The 23,585-nt window shown below is 50.0% G+C and overlaps 1 protein-coding gene across 33 annotated transcripts in view, besides 1 other annotated feature; it reads right to left on the bottom strand.

Moving 5' to 3' along the window:
- The window catches only part of MOK (MOK protein kinase), a 90,569-nt gene that overhangs the window by 14,181 nt on the left and 52,803 nt on the right, over window positions 1–23,585 (bottom strand). For 4 of the 33 annotated variants that reach the window (NM_001353829.2, NM_001272011.2, NM_014226.3 and 1 more), the window contains 8 exons: window positions 23,141–23,219; window positions 22,980–23,028; window positions 22,036–22,214; window positions 4,912–5,013; window positions 3,759–3,932; window positions 2,931–3,045; window positions 681–881; window positions 60–590 (listed from right to left, as the gene is read on the bottom strand). In NM_001353829.2, coding sequence (NP_001340758.1) covers window positions 513–590; window positions 681–881; window positions 2,931–3,045; window positions 3,759–3,932; window positions 4,912–5,013; window positions 22,036–22,214; window positions 22,980–23,028; window positions 23,141–23,187 — 945 coding nt within the window. In that variant the 5' untranslated portion in view covers window positions 23,188–23,219 and the 3' untranslated portion in view covers window positions 60–512. Of the gene's footprint in view, window positions 1–59; window positions 882–2,455; window positions 2,626–2,930; window positions 3,046–3,757; window positions 5,014–5,753; window positions 6,651–9,541; window positions 9,589–11,675; window positions 11,840–17,280; window positions 18,776–22,035; window positions 22,215–22,667; window positions 22,835–22,979; window positions 23,029–23,140; window positions 23,220–23,585 lie in introns of those variants that run through there. The other 29 variants (XR_007064041.1, NR_148555.2, NR_148553.2 and 26 more) reach the window with 20 other exon arrangements.
- Window positions 2,339–2,839: an enhancer, noted in NCBI's record as "H3K4me1 hESC enhancer chr14:102697452-102697952 (GRCh37/hg19 assembly coordinates)". NCBI's record gives its function as "activates a minimal SCP1, AML or CMV promoter by ChIP-STARR-seq in primed H9 embryonic stem cells {active_cell/tissue: H9 hESC(primed)}" and the evidence as "EXISTENCE:reporter gene assay evidence [ECO:0000049][PMID:30033119]".

The raw sequence follows: 23,585 nt of genomic DNA on the forward strand, positions 1-23,585 counted from the left end.
TAAAATAAAGGAATGGCTGGTAAGGACACATGTTGGACTCGGAAAACATTAAAATGCAATACTGTAACGACAGCTTATTCTTTAATAAAAGTCAGGGGTGTCAGCAGCGTCACTGGTAAGACATGATGGCGCTCCACGACTGACCAGCAGCGCTGGGAAGGGACACGCAGAACCCACCTTCCAACCACGCCCAACACATCACAGAAATGCCTGCTCGTTTGTTTTGATTCATATACAAAGTTACAAAGTATTTCCTGCCCCAAATTCTTAACGAAAATGAAAGAAAACCCTAGAATGCGGTGGTTTTACAAGTATATTAGCCCAGAACATCCTAGGCAGCTGCGCGGGCCGCGGGTGCGGCAGGGCGCAGGGCAGCACCCAGAGCCCCGGCCAGCGCGAAACGGACGCAGGCGCATCCCCAGCCCTCCGTGGCGTCTCAGCAGCAGATCACCCAGGCCTGGCCCGGTCGGGCTTGGTGTTGCCTCCGAAGTCGAGACGACGGTGCTGCTCAGTTATCTTCCGCCTTTCCGCACTATGGTGGGCAGGCGACACTGCTGCGGGGCAGGCTTAAGGTCCTTCTGCGGATCTGTCTGTCAAAGAAAAATTACAGACACAAAATTCAGTGGCGGCCTGGGCTGGGTCGAAGAGCAGCGCCGTCAGAGAAGCTGGTTCCGCGCTACCTTCTTGCTCGCAGGGATGCACTTCAAGGGTCTCAGCACCGGCACTCTTCCATTTGTTCCAGATCCAAGCACGGACTGCAGCGTGGGGCTGGAGTAAGACGACAGTCTGACCACTCCCGAAAGCTTTAGTTTGGGCAGTTCCATGACATAGGCCGGTCCTCGTCTCTTGGGACGGTCCTCCTCTTGCTTTAGGGACTGTTTCTTGAAACAGAACAGAGGCCAGTTGGACATAAAACGCTTTCTGCTTTATGGAAATTAGGAAAAACGAAAGAGGCTCTTTTGTACTGCTTTTGCCTAATACAATTTCTTGACCATAAGATGTGACTGGGACACATCCACCAGGTCCCAGACACCCCAAGGGAGTGGCTGCCCACTAGAGTCCCACGGGGGAGGCCAAACCTTCAGGGGGAACCTGAAGAATGCCGACTGCAAGCTGAGCAGTGCGGGCGGCAAAGGGCTCGCGGGCTGTGGTGCCCACGCCTCCTGCCTCCTGCTCTAGCTCCAAGGTCTCACACCCTGATCTGCCTGTCGCCTGGTTTTGGGTGGCTTGTGAGCTAAGGATGGTTTTACATTTGGGGTTTTTTGTTTGTTTGTTTGTTTTGAGACACGGTGTTTGTTGCTCTGTAGCACAGACTGGAGTGCAGTGGTGCAATCTTGGCTCACTGTAGCCTCAGCTTCCTAGGCTCAGGCGATCCTCCTGCCTCAGCCTCCCAAGTAGCTGGGACCAAAGGCACGCACCACACCCAGCTAATTTTTAAAACAGATGGGGTGGTGGGGCAGTGGTCTTGCCTACGTTGCCCAGGCTGGTCTCAAACTCCTGGCCTCAAGTGATCCTACCCTGGCCTCCCTAAGCACTGGGTTTACAGGTGTGAGCCACCGCACCCACCTGGTTTTTATTTTTAATGACTGAAAAAAAAATGTTTCATGGCATGTGAAAATTATGTGAAATTCAAATTTTAGTGTCCCCAGTTCTACTGGAACGCAGCCCCTATGTGGTTCATGTGTTGCCTCCAGCTCCTTTCACACTGCAGCAAAGCAGGGAGTGTAACGAACACCCCACGGCCACGGGGCCTAAAATATTTCCTATCAGACCCTTAGAGAAAAATATGCCGACCTCGGATGTGACTGAGGGTGGGGACTTGGGTGAATGCCGGCCAGGAGTGACATCAAGGGTTTGAAGCAGACCCTCTGTCCAGGAGGGAGCGGAGGCAGAGCAGGGACAGTAGTGAGGAGGCCATCTGTGGTGACTTAGGCAAGGTGAGGAGGATGTAGGAGGCAAGAAGGCGAAGCCCCTGTGGGATGAAGGAAGGGTCCACGGGGGGCCTGGGCAGTTGACGGAGTTGCCTCCCTCGGAGGGAAGGCCATGGGAAGCCACAGGGAAAAAGCACGTTTGGGGAAAGATCAGGAGAAGGGGTTTCAGCAAGTCTGTCTTTCGGACATTCAAGTGGAGCTGTCAAATCAGGGACCAATGGGACACAGGAGCCTGGCTTTCTGGAGAGCAGCCTGACTGCAGCTCTGGGTTCCCAGCTCCCAAGCGGTCAGGGAGCACTCGGTAAAGGCTGGGAGGAGCGAGTGACGTACGGACGACCGAACAGACGAATGATGGAAGGGCACACTGTCACACTGTTGGGGTGCCAGCCCAGAACTGGGAGACTGGTGTGACCCTGCCAGCAGGTGACACAGGGCTGCACCAGGCTAGGATGCCACACGGTAGGTGGGAAGGTGAAGGCACTGAGGGGCAAAGCTGGCATTTCTCAACCGAAAATGTGCACAACCTCTGCTGATGGGACGAAGTGCTCATCTGGAGCCAGGCAGAGACAGTGACTTGAGACCTGTCACTGGCTGGGTGGGTGACTTGGGCCAGCATTGCATCTTCTTGGCGCCTCCCTCCAGGGCCGTTCTGAGGGGCGATGTCTGCACGGTGCTTTGGCATAGAACCTGGCACCTGCATATGGTCATCAGGACAGACACAAAAGTTCATGCAAACATCCCCTCTCTGGGCCTGCTCACATGGGATATTCGTCATCAATTCTTAGCTACTGGGGCAGAAAGGGCTTGAGCAAATAGAACTGGGGTCCCTGATGTCCCAACACATGGAGCCATCAACTCGCATGCTGTTCAGGCCTCGACTGACAATGTGGTCTGCCACAGCCTCCACAGGTGGCGTCCTCCTGAGAGAGACACAGGCCACCCGAGGGCATCCAGTCCCGGCTGAGCTAGGCAGTCTCCGGCTCCGATTTCGCTTAGTACCTGCTTTCTGCCCTCCTTGGAAATCTGGCAGCTGTTACTGAGTGGTTCCGGTGCCACAGGGTGCTCCGGAAAGCCAGCTTTTCTGTGGCTGCCCAGAGCCCGCTTCTCTGTTTTCCTACGGGGAAGGAGAAGAGAATGGAGCAGCTCCACTGAGAGCCCGCAGAGCACACGGCCTACTGGCTTCTTTGTCTCCAATTTGTCTACTGTGTGAGTTGTCACTAGCTCTTCTTTTCTGCCTGAGCTGTAATCAGGAGCCTTTTTTTTTCTTTTCTGTCTCAGCCTGACAGTCTCTGGGCCAGGAACAGAGCTGGCTCCATGAATCAGAAGCGCTGCCTACCCAGGGACTCGCAGTTTCAGATCAAACTGTCACCTCCACAGTTAGGCAAACAGGAGTGTCCAGAGGTCCGGAATTAGGTGACCTCAGGGCAGACAGGTCTTAGATTCACATTCAGCAGGTACTTCCAGCGCCAGGTGACATCCACAGTGCTCTACCATCTCAGAATGCATCCTGTTCACACCATTTACAAGGGCCGCACACCAGGCTCTTCTAGAAGGATTACTACCTGTAGCCTTGGCATCAACCGCAAAGTGGACAGCCAGCCCCTCTTTCTCCTGCCGTGGAGCTGCTAACATCCTCATTTTGGGGAGGATACACCAGAAGGCAGCACGGTGTGGGCCCCAAGAGGCCCTGACCACTCTTCAGGATAGAGAGCGCGATTCCCAAGAACCAGGGACCCTCCAGGGGGCAGTACCTTGCCCCACCATGTGCCCATGGGTCTCATTTGCCAGGTCCTGCATCTGCCCCACCGAACCCACGAGAGTGCCTACCTCTGTTCTTGGAAGTAGGGGTGCTGCAGGGCCTGGTGGGCGGCGATTCTCTCATCGGGATCATAGGCCACCATTGCGTGCAGGAGGGAGAGGCATTGTGGGGACAAATTGGTTGTTAGTAGAGGTATTCCTGATCCCTTTTTAAAAGGAAAATCAAAATTCATAGCTCTCGACCTGTATTAAAAACCCAATGATAATAAATGGTCATGCTGTCACTGAGCGCACCGGTGGTCCACTGTCACAACTAAGGGCCCTGTGTGGTGGGGAATGGTTTATGACTGCAGAGTCTACACCTGTCCCAGCCCACAGAACGTGCACCACCAAGAGGGACCCCTGATGTAAATGATGGGCTCTGTGTAGTAATGAGATATCCACGGTTCATCGACCATAATAAACACACCACTCGAGGCAGGTGCTGACGACAGGGGAGGCTGTGTGCACATGGGGACAGGGCTCTATGGAAACCTAAAACTGCTCTTAAAAAAATCTATTTAAAAATAGTCTATTATAAAGGGGGGGATCTGTTATGCTAAAAATGTAAGAAAACTACCTTTCCTATAAAAGATTAATATCACCTTCCCACATGAGAAGAATGAAATAAAATTTAACAAAAAAAGAAGAGTCCAAAATGGTTGCCACCTTCTCCCTCCCTGGGATGTGGGGGCCGCTGGGTGCTACTTGCCCCTCAGCCCACAGGCCCTCCCTGGGAAGTCCCAACTCCCAGCCTCAGCTTCACCAGAATGACCCTAAGAGTCCGGGAACACCTCTTCCAGGCGTCGGTCCCGCCAGCAGGGCTGTGGAGGGCTGCAGAAAGCCCTCACCACCTATGCTCTGTGCTTGGGGAACGTTTCCACCCAAAGGCTTCTAAGTCCTGTTTAAATTACTCAGGGAACACAGCCTGACTCCCCAGCCCTCAGAAAGCCTGTGACAAATCTTTCTGTGATGCTCAAGGAAGAGCTCACCTTTGAGACCACTTAAAGTGATGGGCTCTGTCTGAGCAGCCACTCACTGGCCCTCAAGTGAACTTGAACCCCTGTAGTCAGCCAAAGGAGCTCCTGAGAGGGGTTTGAGGGAGGCACAGGGAGGGGCTTGCCCTGCTGCAGGTCCTAGCAGGGGAGTGGGTCCACATCCACTCTCAGAACACAATACTTACTGTTTGAACTTGGTGAGGATCTTCTGAGCGGGTGTGCCGATGACATCGTGGATTTTTGAGATTTGGTCCAGTTCATTTACTCCAGGAAAGAGGGGCTGCAGACTGGAAGGGCAGAAGGGGCACTGTGGTCAGTGTTAGGGCAGAGCCAACAGACCTCACCAATTACAAACCATCTGGACCGCACAAGGGGAGATCGTGGGAAGCATAAACAAACTTTACCTACACCCTTCTGTAAGTTCCTGCTGTTCATCTAGCTGCTACCGTAAACATCACAAGGTGATATGTGGCAAAATTAACCAGCAAACAACCCCGGGATGTGACCATACCGAAGAACTCCCTCAAACTCCCTTCCCCAATATAAACCCCTCAATCTGTAAGCTTGGGGCTGCTTCCTCTGACTGTTAAGCGGCCGGTGGCAGGTTAATAAAAACTTGCTTGCCTGACTTTAGGTCAATTTTTCCTTTCTCTCGGATGACCTAACATTCTGGTGCCGAAACCCGGGAAGGGGGATAGACTCTGGCCAGGACTCGCTCACTATCAATCTCTCTCTCTCTCTCTTTTTCTCTCTCTCTCCCTCCCTCCCCTATCACCCCTCTCCTGGCCAATCTCCCCTTCCCCGAACCTGCCAAAGACCCAGACAATCTCCTAGACTCTCCCATTGCTGGTGACTTCATCCACCATCAAAGCCTCCGCCAGGGTGAGTAAAAAGAGACTGTTGCCATTCCCTGAACTCTTGACCGTCCATCTCCCATTTCCGAAAGACCCAGCGCTGGGCCAAGGGCTTCCTCCAGCCTCCAGGCCTCTGGTTCCTCCGTTTCAGGGACGCCTGACACGGTGGTTACCTCCTCTATTCCTGACAAGTTCCGCGGGAAAGGGGACGTCACCGGCAGTCTCTTCTTCCTCTACCCCCCTCCCTTCCATTCACTATGGGAGCCTCTCAGTCTATTCCTCCTAAAACTACCCCCCTTGGGTGCCTCCTACACAATCTGTATACTCTTGGCCTCCGTTCAGAAATCTGCCCTAAAAGGCTTATCTTTTACTGTAACACCACATGGCCTCAATACAAATCAGACCATGGCTCCCAATGGCCTGAAAATGGCACTTTCGATTCCGACATGCTCAGAGACTTAGACAACTTTTGCCACCGCAGTGGGAAGTGGTCTGAGATTCCTCATGTTCAGGCTTTCTTTACTCTCTGTAGTCGTCCCTCCCTCTGCCAGTCCTGCTGTACTTTTCAAATTCTCCTCGCCTGCTCCAAACCCGACTCACCTCCTGCTCCCCTCATCCCAATAGCCCCAGCGGACGACTTCTCCTTCTTTGATCCCACCGATTTCTCCCCTCCTCGACAACATCCTAATCCTCCACCGGAACAGCATGACCCCCCACCGTATGCCTCCGCTCCGGCTCTACCTCTCTCTCCCCTTCTCTCCAACCACCCCACCTCCGACTCTGAGTCCTCCCCATCTCCACCCCTTACTCGTTCTCGAGCCCAACACGCCCAGCAGCCTGCTCCCTTGCTTCTTCTCCGGGAAGTGGCATGGGCCGAAGGGATGGTCCGTGTCCACGTCCCATTTTCCCTCTCTAATGTTTCCCAAATTGAGAAACGTCCAGGTTCTTCTCCGATCCCGACACTTACATCAAATAATTTAAATATCTCACCCAGTCTTATGAACTTACTTGGCATGATCTCTATATTATTTTGTCTTCTACCCTCCTTCCGGAAGAAAAGGAAAGAGTGTGGCTTGCAGCCCAGGCCCATGCCGATGACCTCCATCGGCAAGATCCTACTAGGCCAGTAGGGGCCGCTGCAGTTCCCTGAGAAGAGCGTACCTGGGCGTATCAACCCACAGGCCCCTGCCAGACCTCCTGTAATCATATGATTACTTGCCTCACTGCAGGCCTTAACAAAACTGCCCATAAGGCTGTAAATTTCGAAAAACTCAAAGGAATCTCCCAAAAGGCCAATGAAAACCCTGCCCAATTCCTTTCTCGCCTTACAGAGACTCTCCAAAAATACACGCGTGTCGATCCCGCCTCCCGGGAAGGAACTATTGTTCTTTACATCCATTTTATTTCCCAATCTGCCCCCGACATCTGGCGCAAACTTAAAAAGGCTGAAGATGCCCCTCAGACCCCACAACGAGACCTCCTTAACTTGGCTTTCAAAGTCTTTAATAACAGGGATGAGCAAAATAAATTAGATAAAGCCCAAAGAGATCGTGCTAAATACCAGCTTCTAGCAGCGGCTGTCCATCAACCCAGCCGTATCACCCAAGGGCACAAAAGACCCGATAGCAGCAACCCTCCGGGCCTTGTTTTAAGTGTGGCAAAGAAGGCCACTGGGCATGGGTGTATCCTAACCCTTGAGTGCCAAAGAGTCCTTGTCCAGTGTGCCAGCAGACAGGCCACTGGAAGTCCGACTGTCCTCTCAACAGACAGACAAGCCTGCTCCTCAGAGCCACCACCCCTTTAACAAGACAAAAAGTGAAGAACCGCTTGCATTCCCGCAGCTCCTCAGCCTAGCCGCTGAGGACTGACCGGGCCCAGGGCCCCCGGCCCCATCTGCCATCACTGCATTGGAGCCCAGGGTAACTCTGCGAGTAGCAGGTAAGCCGATCTCTTTTTAAATTGATAGCGGGGCCACCTACTCAGCTTTGCCTGAATTTTCAGGACCCACTCATCCCTCTCAGGTCTCAGTTGTGGGGGCTGATGGACTCATCTTGCGTCCACGCGCCACCAGACCCCTTACTTGCTCTCTGTTTGATACTGTTTTCCCACACTCTTTCCTTATCATGCCTCGTTGCCCTACCCCCATCCTAGGCCAAATTCAAAGCCAAATTCAAATTCAAATTTTGGCCAAATTCAAAGCTTCTATCACCTTTTTCTCCCTCCCTCAACCGGAGTCCCTCCTACTCCTCTATGCGAGTCCAGCCCCTGACCCCTCTCCCCAGTACCCACTTCCCACCTCTTTTGTAAACCCAACAGGGTGGGACACCACCACCCCTTCCCTAGCTACTCACCACGACCCCATCAAAATCCAGTTAAAAGACCTCTCTAAATTTCCCAGCATCCCCAAAAACCCTATCTCCCTAACCCACCAAAAAGGCTTACAGCCCATCACAAACAAGCTCTGTTCACGCCGTCTTCTTAGGCCAACACGTTCTTCATATAACACCACCATCCTCCTGGTTAAAAAATCAGACGGCTCATACCGACTCCTGCAAGACCTCCGAGCCATCAGTCAGGCTGTCTTTCCTATTCATCCCATAGTCCCTAACCCCTCTACACTTCTCTGTCTCATTCCCTCCAACACCACCTGCTACACTGCTATTGACCTAAAAGATGACTTTTTTTACTATTCCCCTGCACCCTGATTCCCAAAACCTCTTTGCTTTCACCTGGACCGACCTTGACACCCTCCAGTCACAACAACTAACCTGGACTGTCCTCCCTCAAGGCTTCAGAGATAACCCTCACTTCTTTGGACAAGCTTTAGCTCAAGATCTCACTTCCTTAAACCTTTTCCCTAGCCGTCTCCTTCAATACGTGGACAATCTTCTCCTTTGCAGCCCCTCTCTAGAAGACTCTCAAACTCACACAGTTACTCTCTTAAAACTTTCTCTCCATCAAAGGGTATAGAGTCTCCCCCTCCGAAGCTCAACTTTCCACCTCCATAGTAACTTACCTAGGAGTTCAACTTTCCCCTGGGACCCGGGCTATGACCCCTGCCCTAGCAGCACTAATAGATAATCTGCCCTCGCCCTCCTCCAAAAGCGAAGTTCTTTCCTTCCTAGAACTAGCAGGCTTTTTTAGAATATGGATTCCCAACTTTGCCCTCCTAGCTCACCCACTCTATGAAGCAGCCAAAGGCCCTCTCAGTGAGCCTCTAAATCCCTCACGTAACATACTCCCCAACTTCTGCAAACTTCAAACCGCTCTTGTCACTGCACCAGCTCTGTCCTTACCTGGTATCTCCCAACCTCTCACACTCTATACTGCCAAAAGATGAGGAATAGCCCTCGGTGTCTTAGGGCAACAGAAAGGAGACCCTCCTTCCTTTGCCCCTGTAGCCTACCTCTCTAAACAGTTAGACAACACAGTCAGAGGATGGCCAACCTGTCTTAGAATGCTAGCAGCAGCGGCCACTTTAGCTGTAAGCAGGAAACTAACATTGAGTCAAAATACCACCACCTACAGTCCTCATAATCTACAGGATCTCCTCTCCTCCCGAGCATGAGGCTCCCTCCTTTCCGGATTCAATTACTCCATGCCCTCTATCAAAAATCCTGAATTCGGTCTTGCCAAAAGTGCTCCCTTCAACCCAGCATCCTTACTCCCTGTATCTTCTTCCCTTCCTACTCATTCTTGCACTGACGTCCTAGATCACCTGCAGCCACACTTTCCTAACATTTCCTCCGAGCCTCTCACCAACCCCGATGACCAGCTATTTATAGATGGCCCCCCTTCTGGGCCCACTGGCTCCCCCAAAATTGCTGGGTATGCAGTTGTTTCCCTTGACCGAGTAATTGAAGCTAAGCCCCTACCTCCAGGAACCTCCTCTCAAAAAGCAGAATTCATAGCTCTCACCAGAGCCCTAACCCTTTCCAAAGGCAAACGAGTCAACACTTACACAGACTCCAAAGATGTATATCACATTCTTCATTCCCACGCCACCATCTGGCAAGAGAGGAGATTCCTTACTGCCAAAGTGACCCTATCACTAACCACCCCCTTATTTACCAACTCCTTCAAGCCGCACATCTCCCAACTGAGGCAGGAGTTATACACTGTTGGGGACATCACACAGGAACAGATAAAATCTCAAGAGGCAACAGAAAGACCAATGGGGCAGCAAAAGAAGCCTCCCTTTCTTCCGCTCCTGCCTCCCTCCTCCTCATTACCCCTGCAGTCCAACCTCAGTACCCCCCACTGAAAAAGCCTCATTACTATAACAAGGAGCCTTCCTCCAGGGGGACTGGATAGATAAGGACCAGAAGCTAGACCTTCCCCAGGGCCAAACCGACAAAATCCTGACATCTCTCCACCAATCCTTCCATATTGGTGCATGTCCCCTATATCTCCTCCTCCGCCCATATTTCTTCTCCCCTCACCTATTTACCTCACTAAAAAGTATAACTTCAAAATGTCATATATGCTCTGTCACCTCCTCTCAAGGAGCCCTCCATTCCCCATCTATTCCTACACACCAGCTAAGAGGAACACTCCCAGGGGAAGACTGGCAAATAGACTTCACCCACATGCCTCCCGTCAAAAACACAAGACTACTTCTCACTCTTATAGACATCTTCTCTGGGTGGGTGGAGGCATTTCCTACCTCTTCAGAAAAAGCTGCAGTAGTCTCCCAGATCCCCACAAGAGAAATCATCCCTAGCTTTGGTCTCCCTCGCTCCAATCAATCAGACAATGGCCCTGGCTTCATTTCCCAAATCACCCAACAGCTCTCCCAGTCCCTCAGCATCCAGTGGCACCTCCATATCCCATATCGACCCCAATCATCAGGAAAAGTCGAAAGGGCAAATGGAAACCTTAACACTCAGTTGATCAAACTCACTCTAGAAGTCCAGAGGCCCTGGACTTCCCTCCTACCCATAGCTCTAGCCAGCGTCAGAGCCAGCCCAAAGGCACCCTCCTTCCTCAGCCCATTTGAATTAATGTATGGATGCCCTTTCCTCTTACAAAACAGGCCTCCTTCTGAGACCCTTTCCTCTTACAAAACAGGCCTCCTTCTGATTCTCAATTAGGAGAGTACCTCCCAGCACTCTCCCTCATCCGCCATCTCCTCTGCAAACAGGCACACCAGGCCCTCCCAATACCACATAAAGGCCTCACTGACCAGACCCTCCTACCAGGAGAACATGTTTTTCTAAAAACCCTTAACCCGGCTGGGCACAGTGGCTCACGCCTGTAATCCCAGTACAGTGGGAGGCCAAGCCTGGTGAATCACAAGGTCAAGAGATTGAGACCATCCTGGCCAACATGGTGAAACCCCTTCTCTACTAAAAATACAAAAATTAGCCGGGCATGGTGGCAGGCACCTGTAGTCCCAGCTACTCGGGAGGCTGAGGCAGGAGAATCACTTGAACCTGGGAGGCAAAGGTTGCAGTGAGCTGAGATTGTGCCCTGCACTCCAGCCTGGCGACAGGGCAGGACTCTGTCTCAAAACAAAAAACAAAAATCAAACAAAAAAAAACCCTTAACCCAACCAGCCTTAAACCAAAATGGGAAGGCCCTTTCCAGGTCATCCTTACTGTCAGGCCTCTGAGCCCAAGCCTGCAGTATACATCCAGATGGCCCGAAGCAAGTGAAGAATCACAAAAGAAGTGAAAATGGCCAGCCCTGCCTTAACTGATGACATTACCTTGTGAAATTCCTTCTCCTGGCTCAGAAGCTTCCACACTGAGCACCTTGTGATCCCCTAGCCCCTGCCCGCCAGAGAACAACCCCCTTTGACTGTAATTTTCCACTACCTACCCAAATCCTATAAAACGACCCACCCCTATCTCCCTTTGCTGACTCTGTTTTCGGACTCAGCCCGCCTGCACCCAGGTGAAATAAACAGCCTTGTTGCTCACACAAAGCCCGTTTGGTGGTCTCTTCACAGGGACGCGCGTGACATTTGGTGCCGAAACCCGGGACAGGAGGACTCCTTCGGGAGACCAGTCCCCTGTCCTTGCCCTCACTCCGTGAGGAGATCTACCTACAACCTCGGGTCCTCAGACCAACCAGCCCAAGGAACATCTCACCAATTTCAAATCAGGTAAGCGGTCTTTTCACTCTCTTCTCCAGCCTCTCTTGCTACCCTTCAGTCTCCCTGTTCTTCCAATTCCAGTTCTTTTTCCTCTCTAGTAGAGACGAAGGAGACACATTTTATCTGTGGACTCAAAACTCCAGCACCAGTCACAGACTCAGGAATAGTCTTCTCTTGGTGTTTAATCACTGCGGGGATGCCTGCCTGATTATTCACCCACACTCCATTGGTGTCTGATCACCGCGAGGATGCCTGCCTTGGTCATTCACCCACATTCCCTTGGTGGCAAGTCAACTGCGGGGATGCCTGCTTTGGCTGCTCACCCACATTGCAGCCCAGGGCTGCTCACCACCCTCCTTATCTGTGTCTCTACCCTCTCTTTTCTCTGGGCTTGCCTGCTTCACTATGGGCAACCTTCCACCCTCCATTCCCCCTTCTTCTTCCTTAGGCTGTATTCTCAAAAACTTAAAACCTCTTCAACTCTTGCCTGACCTAAAACCTAAGTGTCTTCGCCAACACCACTTGGCCCCAATACAAACTCGATAATGGTTCTAAACAGCCAGAAAATGGCACTTTTGATTTCTCCATTTTACAAGACCTGGATGATTTTTGTCGAAAAATGGGCAAATGGTCTGAGGTGCCTGACGTCCAGGCATTCTTTTACACATCGGTCCCTCCCTAGTCTCTGCTCCCAATGCAACTCATCCCAAATCTTTCTTCTTTCTCTCCTGTCTATTCCTTCAGTCTCCACTCCAAGCTCTGAGTCCTTTGAATCCTTTTCTACAGACCCATCTGACCCCTCCCTTCCTCCCCAGGCTAATCCTCGCCAGGCTGAGCCAGGTCTCAATTCTTCCTCAGCCTCCACTCCCCCACCCTATAATCCTTTAATCACCTCCCATCCTCACACAGGGTCCAGCTTACAGTTTCACGTGGGGAGACTAGCCCTCCCGCACCTGCTCAACAATTTCCTCTTAAGGAGGTGGCTGGAGCCGAAGGCTTAGCCAAGGTTAATGCTCCTTTTTCTTTATCTGACCTCTCCCAAATCAGTGTTTAGGCTCTTTTTCATCAAATATAAAAACTCAACCCAGTTCATGGCCCGTTTGGCAACAACCCTTAGATGCTTTACCGCCCTAGACCCAGAGGGGCCAGAAGGCCATCTTATTCTCAATAGGCATTTTATTACCCAATCTGCTCCTGACATTAGAAAAAGCTCCAAAAATTAGATTCCGGCCCTCAAACCCCACAACAGGACTTAATTAACCTCACCTTCAAGGTGTACAATAATAGAGTAGAGGCAGCCAAGTAGCAATGAATTTCTGAATTGCAATTCCTGCCTCCACTGTGAGACAAACCCCAGCCACATCTCCAGGACACAAGAACTTCCAAACGTCTGAACCGCAGTGGCCAGGCGTTCCTCCAGAACTGCCTCCCCAAGGATCTTACTTCTAGCGCCGGAAATCTGGCCACTGGGCCAAGAAATGCCCACAGCCCAGAATTCCTCCTAAGCCATGTCCCATCTGTGCAGGACCCCACTGGAAATCGGACTGTCCAACTCGCCCAGCAGCCACTCCCAGAGTCCCTGGAACTCTGGCCCAAGGCTCTCTGACTGACTCCTTCCCAGATCTTCTTGGCTTTAGCGGCTGAAGACTAATGCTACCTGATTGCCTCGGAAGCCTCCTGGACCATCACAGACGCTTTGGGTAACTCTTACAGTGGAGGGTAAGTCCATCCCCTTCTTAATCAATACGGAGCTTACCCACTCCACATTACCTTCTTTTCCCTTGCCTCCACAATTGTGGGTATTGACGGCCAGGCTTCTAAACCTTTTAAAACTCCCCAACTCTGGTGCCAACTTGGACAACATTCTTCTGTGCACTCCTTTTTAGTTATCCTCACCTGCCCAGCTCCCTTATTAGGTGGAGACATTTTAACTAAATTATCTGCTTCCCTGACTATTCCTAGACTATAGCCACACCTCATTGCTGCCCTTTTCCTCAGTTCAAAGCCTCCTTCACATCTTCCCCTTGTATCTCCCCACCTTAATCCACAAGTATGGGACACCTCTACTCTCCCCTGGCAACTGATCACACACCCCTTACTATCCCATTAAAACCTAATCACCCTTAACCCACTCAACGCCAATATCCCATCCCACAGTACACTTTAAAAGGATTAAAGCCTGTTATCACTCACCTGTTACAGCATGGCCTTTTAAAGCCTATAAACTCTCCTTACAATTCCCCCATTTTCCCTGTCCAAAAACCGGACAAGTCTTACAAGTTAGTTCAGGATCTGCATCTTATCAACCAAATTGTTTTGCCTATCCACCCTGTAGTGCTAAACCCATATACTCTCCTATCCTCAATACCTCCCTCCACAACCCCTCCACAACCCATTATTCTGTTCTGGGTCTCAAACATGCTTTCTTTACTATTCCTTTGCACGCTTCATCCCAGCCACTCTTTGCTTTCACTTGGACTGACCCTGACACCCATCAGGCTCAGCAAATTACCTGGGCTGTACTGCTGCAAGGCTTCATGGACAGCCCCCATTACTTCAGTCAAACCCAAATTTCTTCCTCATCTGTTACCTATCTTGGCATAATTCTTCATCAAAACACACATGCCCTCCCTGCTAATCATGTCTGGCTAATCTCCCAAACCCCAACCCCTTCTACAAAACAACTCCTTTCCTTCCTGGGCATGGTTAAATACTTTCACCTTTAAATACCTGGTTTTGCCATCCTAACAAAACCATTACATAAACACAAAAGAAAACCTAGCTGACCACATAGATCCTAAATCCTTTCCCCATTCCTCTTTCCGTTCCTTAAAAACAGCCCTGGAAGCTGCTCCCACACTAGCTCTCCCTAACTCATCCCAACCCTTTTTCATTACACAGAGCCAAAGTGCAGGGCTGTGCAGTTGAAATTCTTACACAAGAGCCGGGACCGTGCCCTGTATCCTTTTTGTCCAAACAACTTGATCTTACTGTTTTAGGCTGGCCATCATGTCTCTGTGTGGCAGCTGCCGTCACCCTAACACTTTTAGAGGCCCTCAAAATCACAAACTATGCTCAACTCACTCTCTACAGCCCTCATAACTTCCAAAATCTATTTTCTTCCTCACACCTGATGCATATACTTTCTGCTCCCTGGCTCCTTCAGCTGTACTCACTCTTTGTTGAGTCTCCCACAATTACCAGTGTTCCTGGCCCAGACTTCAATCCGGCCTCCCACATTATTCCAGATACCACACCTGACCCCCATGACTGTATCTCTCTGATCCACCTGACATTCACTCCATTTCCCCATATTTCCTTCTTTCCTGTTCCTCACCCTGATCACACTTGGTTTATCCATGGCAGTTCCACCAGGCCTAATCACCGCTTACCAGCAAAGGCAGGCTATGCTATAGTATCTTCCACATCTATCATTGAGGCTACTGCTCTGCCCCCTCCACTACCTCTCAGCAAGCCAAACTCATTGCTTTAACTCAAGCCCTCACTCTTGCAAAGGAACTACGCATCAATATTTATACTGACTCTAAACATGCCTTCCATATCCTGCCCCACCATGCTGTTATATGGGCTGAAAGAGGTTTCCTCACTACACAAGGGTCCTCCATCATTAATGCCTCTTTAATAAAAATACTTCTCAAGGTCGCTTTACTTCCAAAGGAAGCTGGAGTCATTCACTGCAAGGGCCATCAAAAGGCATCAGACCCCACTGCTCGGGGCAACGCTTATGCTGATAAGGTAGCTAAAGAAGCAGCTAGCATTCCAACTTCTATCCCTCATGGCAGTTTTTCTCCTTCTCATCGGTCACTCCCACCTACTCCACCACTGAAACTTCCACCTATCAATCTCTTCCCACACAAGGCAAATAGTTCTTGGACTAAGGAACATATCTCCTTCCAGCCTCACAGGCCCATTCTATTCTGTCGTCATTTCATAACCTCTTCCACGTAGATTACAAGCTGCTAGTCTGCCTCTTAGAACCTCTCATTTCCTTTCCATCATGGAAATCTATCCTCAAGGAAATCACTTCTCAGTGTTCCATCTGCTATTCTACTACTCCTCAGGGATTGTTCAGGCCCCCTCCCTTCCCTACACATCAAGCTCGGGGATTTGCCCCTGCCCAGGACTGGCAAATTGACTTTACTCACATGCCCTGAGTCAGGAAACTAAAATACGTCTCGGTCTAGATAGACACTTTCACTGGATGGGTAGAGGCCTTTCCCACAAGGTCAAAAAAAGGCCACCGTGGTCATTTCTTCCCTTCTGTCAGACATAATTCCTCGGTTTGGCCTTCCCACCTCTATACGGTCCAATAACGGACTGGCCTTTATTAGTCAAATCACCCAAGCAGTTTCTCAGGCTCTTGGTATTCAGTGGAACCTTCATACCGCTTACCATCCTCAATCTTCAGGAAAGGTAGAATGGAACAGACTAATGGTCTTTTAAAAACACACCTCACCAAACTCAGCCTCCAACTTAAAAAGGAGGGCTCTGTCAAGGATAGAGCCCAAAAACTCACCAACCAAGCAAGTAATTACGCTGAACCCCCTTGGGCACTCCCTAATTGGAAGTCCTGGGTCCTCCCAATTCTTAGTCCTTTAATACCTGTTTTTCTCCTTCTCTTATTTGGACCTTGTGTCTTCCGTTTAGCTCTCAATTCATAAAAAAACACATCCAGGCCATCACCAATCATTCTATATGACAAATGCTCCTTCTAAGAACCCCACAATACCACCCATTACCCCAAAATCTTCCTTCAGCTGAATCTCTCCCACTCCAGGTTCCCACGCCACCCCTAATCCCACTCGAAGCAGCCCTGAGAAACATCGCCCATTATCTCTTCATACCACCCCCCCAAAAATTTTCACTGCCCCAACACTTCAATACTATTTTATGTTATTTTTCTTATTAATATAAGAAGACAGGAATGTCAGGCCTCTAAGCCCAAGCCTGCACATATACATCCAGATGGCCTGAAGCAAGTGAAGAATCACAAAAGAAGTGAAAATGGCCGGTCCCTGCCTTAACTGATATTTCCTTGTGAAATTCCTTTTCTCAGAAGCTCCCCAACTGAGCACCTTGTGACCCCCTCCGCCTGCCCCTGCCCACCGGAGAACAACCCCCTTTGACTGTAATTTTCCACTACCTACCCAAATCCTCTACAACGGCCCCACCCCTATCTCCCTTCGATGATTCTCTTTTCGGACTCAGCCCGCCTGCACCCAGGTGAAATAAATAGCCTTGTTGCTCACACAAAGCCTGTTTGGTGGTCTTTTCACATGGACGTGTGTGACACTTACAACCCCTACTGCAGCCAAACTCTCAGGACATACCCCCTAGTATCACCTTTCCAGGTTAAAGAGAGCTCCCACCTCCGATCCTCCAACCAGCACCTCACCAACTTCTAACTGGTATTCCAGCACACTCCTTGGGCCAACCTGACTCCGCCTCACATCCATCCCAGAAGAAACTTCACATCAGTAAATCCATCCATCTCAAACAGGTTTAAAGTACTATTACAACTAGCCTCCTTTAATGGAAACACTCTATTACACCCTAACTGCAGGCATTATAATACTTACCCTATTGTTTGCAGTGGGATTATATAGTGTAACTCCTTCCAATTGGAATACCAGCCAAAAGTCTCCCTCACTTTAGCCGTCTGCCTAATCGTTACCCTTACAGCAGGAATCACAATCACTATCAAACATTCCCACATCCTCCCTAGATGCCCTGCTTTTGTCTATCCTGCCGCTTCACTCTCTTCCTTCACGCCCTCTCACAAGATATTTCCTGGTTCCACCCACGGAACGACACCCTGGAGGCCTTTTTCAAGTGGATAATCGACCTTTTCTTCCAAGGCTCTCTCTGTGGCTTTACTCTGGGTGGAACCGAACTATTTATTTTTCTGCTCACTATCTGCCTTTCTAACCCTTCTCATAATCAATACCCCAACCCTTCGTTCAGTCCAACCAATACCTACAACCCCTGAACACCTATACAGAACACTTAATCTCACACACTCCTTACTAAAAAACTCCAATTCCTCTCTGGCAAGAGACTGCTGGCTCTGCGTATCCCTCCTCTCCACAACATACAATGCAACCCCTGCTCAGCCTATAACTGGACTTCCACCCAAGTAAGCTACCATCCTGAAATCCTCATTAACTGCCCCTCAAACTCGACATACAGGCATTAACAAAAATCTCCCCCAGTTAGCTAGCGAGTTCGGTCCAGGTGTTACAACCTTACATGCCTACTTACGCAACCTGGCCCTACCACAGCTGTGATGAATGCCTATTAGTAGGAACCGTAACAACCCACACAATCTTATCCTATCCAGCACCACTGTGCGCCAGCGACATCCACCCTCAAGCATTCCCCTCAGCCACCTAAATTCCAAACTGTGCAACTTACACCGCACAACTCAAACCCTCCACCGAACAGACTACTCTCAAAGCCACCAACAATAAAGACAGGCTTCGTTTATCTAGCCCCCCAGCCCTTGACACCTCCCACCTCCTTAACAAAAACTCAGAGTACTGCAACGGCCGACACCCCCATTTATCCCTCTTCCCTTGGCTCCCCTCTCCATGCACCATCCCTGCACCCGCCACCTGCGACTGTGTCCTTATCCCAACATTCAGCAACACTCCCACATGGATCTTAGTGGACACAAAATGCTTCCTCTTACGCTGGGAAAAAAGAACCCAAAGCCCCCAGCCTAAAGCAAACACCCTTTACAACCACTCAGAGCAGCAGCTCTAGCTGGGGCCCTAGGAGTATGGATGCATGAGGACAACAAAACAGTACATCTTTTTAGCATACACAACCAGTTCTGTCTACCAAGCCAAGGCATACTTTTCCTATGCAGTACCTCAACTTATATTTGCCTCCCCTCTAACTGGACAGGCACCTACCTGCACCCTGGTTTTCCTCACTCCAAAAATCAATGTTGCTCCAGGAGACCAACCCCTACCAATCCCAGTTAATACCCGCATCCGACACTGCCGTGCTATGCAACTCATACCTCTATTAGCAGTCCCCAGAATAACTACAGGAGGTGGAACTGAGACTGCGGGATTAACCACCTCTGTTTCCTATTACCAATCCCTCTCCAAAGACCTCACAGATAGCTTGGAAGAGATAGCCAAATCCATCACAACTCTCCAATCACAAATAGATTCTTTAGCAGCAGCGCTTCTTCAAAATCACAGAGGCGTAGACCGACTCACAGCCAAAAAGGGAGGACTCTGCCTCTTTCTAGATGAACAGTGTTGCTTTTATCGTAACCAATCTGGCTTAGTACGAGATTTTGTAAAAACACTAAAGGACCGAGCACAAAAAATTAAAGAAAATGTCCCCCGATGGCCAGCGTGGCCCTCCTGGTCCTTTAGTACCTGGTTTCCATGGCTAATGCCCCTCTTAGGCCCAGCCATAACCATTCTTCTTTTTCTAGCATTCAGCCCTTGTCTCCTACGCCTTCTCACTCAGTTTTTACAGGACCGTATCGGAGCCTTCAATACAATACAAGATATGATGCTGCTCCAAGAATACCAACAGCTCCAAGAACGGCAGTCCCTACTGTCCAGCCTTCCCCCATAACCATCACCCCTTCCCAGCAAGAAGTGGCCAGACGCCAACGGCGCCCCTCTTCTATTACCTATTAAAGGGCTGGAATGTTAGAGACAAACTGCCCCAAAAAAGCTTCTTGGTGCTGCCCACCCCTCCCCCTAATGCTCTGCAACCCTTCTCCGTGCGGTTCACCCTTCCCTCAAGCCTCTTTACATTTCTAAGCCTTTATCTAGGCGCCACGGTAAAGCCAGCAGACTTCACCTGTCAGACCTTGCTGTGATAAGCAAACCCCAATTACAAACCATCCAGAACTCACAGCAGGAGGTCGTGGGAAGCATAAACAAACTTTCCCTACACCCTTCTGTAAGTTCCTGCTCTTCATCTAGTTGCTACCACAAACATCACAAGGTGATATGTGGCAAAATTAACCAGCAAACAACCCTGGGATGGCCGGGGCAGTGGCTCACGCCTGTGATCCCAGCACTTTGGGAGGCTGAGGCGGGCGGATCACGAGGTCAGGAGATCAAGACCATCCTGGCTAACACAATGAAACCCTGTCTCTACTAAAAATACAAAAAATTAGCCGGGCGTGCTGGCGGGTGCCTGTAGTCCCAGCTACTCGGGAGTCTGAGGCAGGAGAATGGTGTGAACCTGGGAGGCGGAGCTTGCAGTGAGCCCAGATCGCGCCACTGCACTCCAGTCTGGGCGACAGAGCAAGACTCCGTCTCAAAAAAAAAAAAAAAAAAAACCAACCCCAGGATGCGGCCATACCAAAGAACTCCCTCAAATTCCCCTCCCCAATATAAATCCCTCATTCTATAAGCTTGGGGCTGCTTCCTCTGACTGTCTGACTTGCTTGCCTGACTTTGGGTCTATTTTTCCTTTCTCTCAGCTGACCCTACAGTCAGGACATGGCCATGGGTCTCTCCATTCTGCCTAGTCCCCTCGACCAGGCAGACTCGCTCACACGGAACGCGAGGAACTCAGCCTGGCGTGTGCAGCGACCCTCACCACACGGAACACGAGGAACTCAGCCTGGCGTGTGCAGCGACCTTAGCTGCTGGGAGGCTCCACTCTCCCTTGTGCTTGACCTTTTGTTTCCACTTTACCAATAGGTCCGACATGTGTTTTCTAAGAGGCAAAAGACAGATCCACATTCCGTCATCTGTTCAGCATGATGTCTGTGGTGAAATGTGACTAATTCACAGTAACCGTGATAAATAACCCCACAGTGAGCCTCCCATCGGCCAAGGGGAGTTTTGCTGACAAATTCAGGGTGAGACAGGTCAGGTTTTGTCAACAAATGAGTCCCAAGAAACCTTTTGGTTTCCAGAGCTTTTATAGATTTTGGAATTGTGGGAACAAGATTTTAAACCTGTGCTGGGCGCGGTGGCTCATGCCTGTAATCCCAGCACTTTGGGAGGCTGAGGCAGGCGGATTACCTGAAGTCAGGAGTTCAAGACCAGCCTGACCAACATGGAGAAACCCCGTCTCTACTAAAAATACAAAATTAGCCGGGCGTGGTGGTGCATGCCTGTAATCCCAGCTACTTGGGGGGCTGAGGCAGGAGAATCGCTAGAACCCGGGAGGCGGAGGCTGCGGTGAGCCAAGATCGCACCATTGCACTCCAGCCTAGGCAACAAGAGCAAAACTCCATCTCAAAAAAATAAATACAGATTTTAAACCTGTATAAATAAATTCAATTCATATTACATGCCACAAATAATATTTAAAAATACAGCTCTGGTAGTAGGCCTAGCTTCTATTCCAGAAAATGGCAGGCTCTTGTGACTAAAGGAGAGAGGAGGAAATGCGGGTGAGCAGGAAACAGCTCCAAGTGGGGAGATGAGTGCCTCAGCCCAGTTTGGTGGCTGGTGCACCGTGGGCCGTCTTGTGCGCTGGTGAGATACAGGTGGCCTTGTGCTCCTGACATCTGCCCCCTCCAGATGAACTCACAGGACCTGGGCTCATGGGAAGGGACTCTTGGTTGACACTTCTGGCTGCAGTGAAATTGCCATTCAGCTTTCCAAAATGAAAAGTTACCAGTATGAACCATCTGGATCAAAGGAGAGTATGTCCTGAAGTGCATTTCTGTAGCAGTCTGTTGAGCAGGCGGGACCAGACTTTGACCCCTCAGATGCACCCCCAGACCTTAACCTCACTGCCACCTGCCTGGAGGCCCACTGGGAGCAAGAGGTGCAGCTCTCCACCCCTGTGCGCGTCTTCAACTCAACACCATTCACCTCGGAGTGGGACCGGCCCCCATCTCCTCGTCCCTGGGCCACTGCTCCTTGCCAAAGGCTGGGGGGGAGTGGGGGGTTTGGAGGATGGAGCAGGGAGGGGTGGGATTGGGGCTTTCTAGAGTCCAACTGTGCCAGAAGGTGCCTCATCCTCACACCTGTGGCCAGGGCACCCTACCTAATATGACTGCACCTCTCAGGGGAGGTTTGGCTCACCCCTCCCCACAGCAGCCCCATCAAGCACCTCACAGCAACCCCAAGGAGGCAGCTGCCCACACCACCAGGGTGTGCAGGAGGGAGAACAACTGAGGGCTGGTGCTCTTCTCTGGGAAGGGCAGGCAAGGCCAAATATGTACAACAAGTAAAATGAAAGCCTAGTCAATTTTCTGTTAAATTAAAAACAGTAAAACAGAAAGAAAAACCAGAATGACCATGACATCTGGATTGTAAAGGAAGGAGCACGAGCCTGGCTGCTGCACCGCTCCGCCGCAGGAACCAGGCAGGAGCCTGGCCTGGTGCTACCTGGCGATCTCGTAGAACACACAGCCGGCGCTCCACAGGTCCATCTTGTACGTGTAGAACCCATCAGTGAGGAGACACTCCGGGGCCCGGTACCAGCGGGTGGAGATGTATTCCGTGTACGGCTGCTTGGAATAGACACTCCGGCAGGAGCCAAAGTCCCCTAATTTCAGGACATCCTGCTGGAAGGGGAAAGAAGCAAGGACAAGTAACATCCCATTATGTGGCTATCATAATACAAACCACTCCAAATATTTATGCACCAGCAGGAAAATTACTAGCATCTAAAGTAGTCTGTAAAATACAAATTACTGGCTTTCTGAGCACCTCAAAGTGCCTCCAGCAGATGAGGAAGTGATGTCTATTCAGTGGAACAGGTTTACAAATATTCTGGCTGTTTCACATATATTTCCAAAATGCCTACAGGTTTGGAAACTGGTTAACCCATTGGCGCTTCTACAAATGAACAACACACACTAGTCGTCTGTCCGGTCATGCTGCCAGCTTGCCCAGCAAGGGCTCTTTTAGCCACACAGCCTCAGAGGACTCTGCTGACAGCCAGTGACAGGTGCTGGGAAACAGCAAATTGTACGGTTTAAACACAGGTAGTTTAGTGGCTTGGGAGTGAGACGGACCTGAGCTCAAATCCTGCCTCTGCCACATTTCCCTCTAGAAGGTTTGAACGGCCGTCTGAATAGGGTTCATTTTTGTCTGCGGTGTGAAAATGGTGCTTTCAATTATTTTCTTCCAGGTGCAGTCAGTTATGTTGATGGCATTTATTAAATAAACCATTTTTTACAACCTGAGAGGGAAAAAAATTACTGTAACAAACAGGCTGTCTAGCCGCATGGACTGAAAGTTCCTCTGGTAGGAGGAGAAAACCTTTCGGGAAAGATTTTCTATTCAGCTTTTATTCTGATACCCAGCTTTCATGTAAAAGCTCTTACCTTTATTAGTATATTTTCTGGTTTTACATCTCTGTGAAATATTCCATTTCTGCATTCAGTATAAAGGAAAAATAGAATTACACTTCATTTATTCAAATTCTTGAATCTGAATGTTAACACATTTTATTAATTTCAGAGCTGTCAAATCTCCGAGAGCATACCTGTGAATATGATCCAGGGACTTACATAACTGGTACATATAGTGCATAATTTTTTTTTCTGATAATGGGTATCTTCTCCCTGTACAATCAAGGAAATAGGCAAATACGGTTACTGATGGTACATATCCTCTTTTTTGAAATAAAAATAATCTATTTTTATTTAACAATGTGTGAAAATCTAAGTTCCCCTGTAAAAAATAATCTGAAGTAGTCTTAGGAAATATGTAGTGTGCCTACAAAACATACCATTTAAAATTCCATATACTGGCCAGGGGCGGTGGCTCACACCTGTAATCCCAGCACTTTGGGAGGCTGAGGTGGGTGGATCAGGAGTTTGAGACCAGCCTGGCCAAAATGGTGAAACCCCATATCTACTAAAAATACAAAAATTTGCCGGGTGTGGTGGCGGGTGCCTGTAATCTCAGCTACTTGGGAGGCTGAGGCT

The sequence above is a fragment of the Homo sapiens genome, chromosome 14 (genome assembly GCF_000001405.40).
Source record: "Homo sapiens chromosome 14, GRCh38.p14 Primary Assembly".
Classification (NCBI taxonomy): Eukaryota; Metazoa; Chordata; class Mammalia; order Primates; family Hominidae; genus Homo; species Homo sapiens.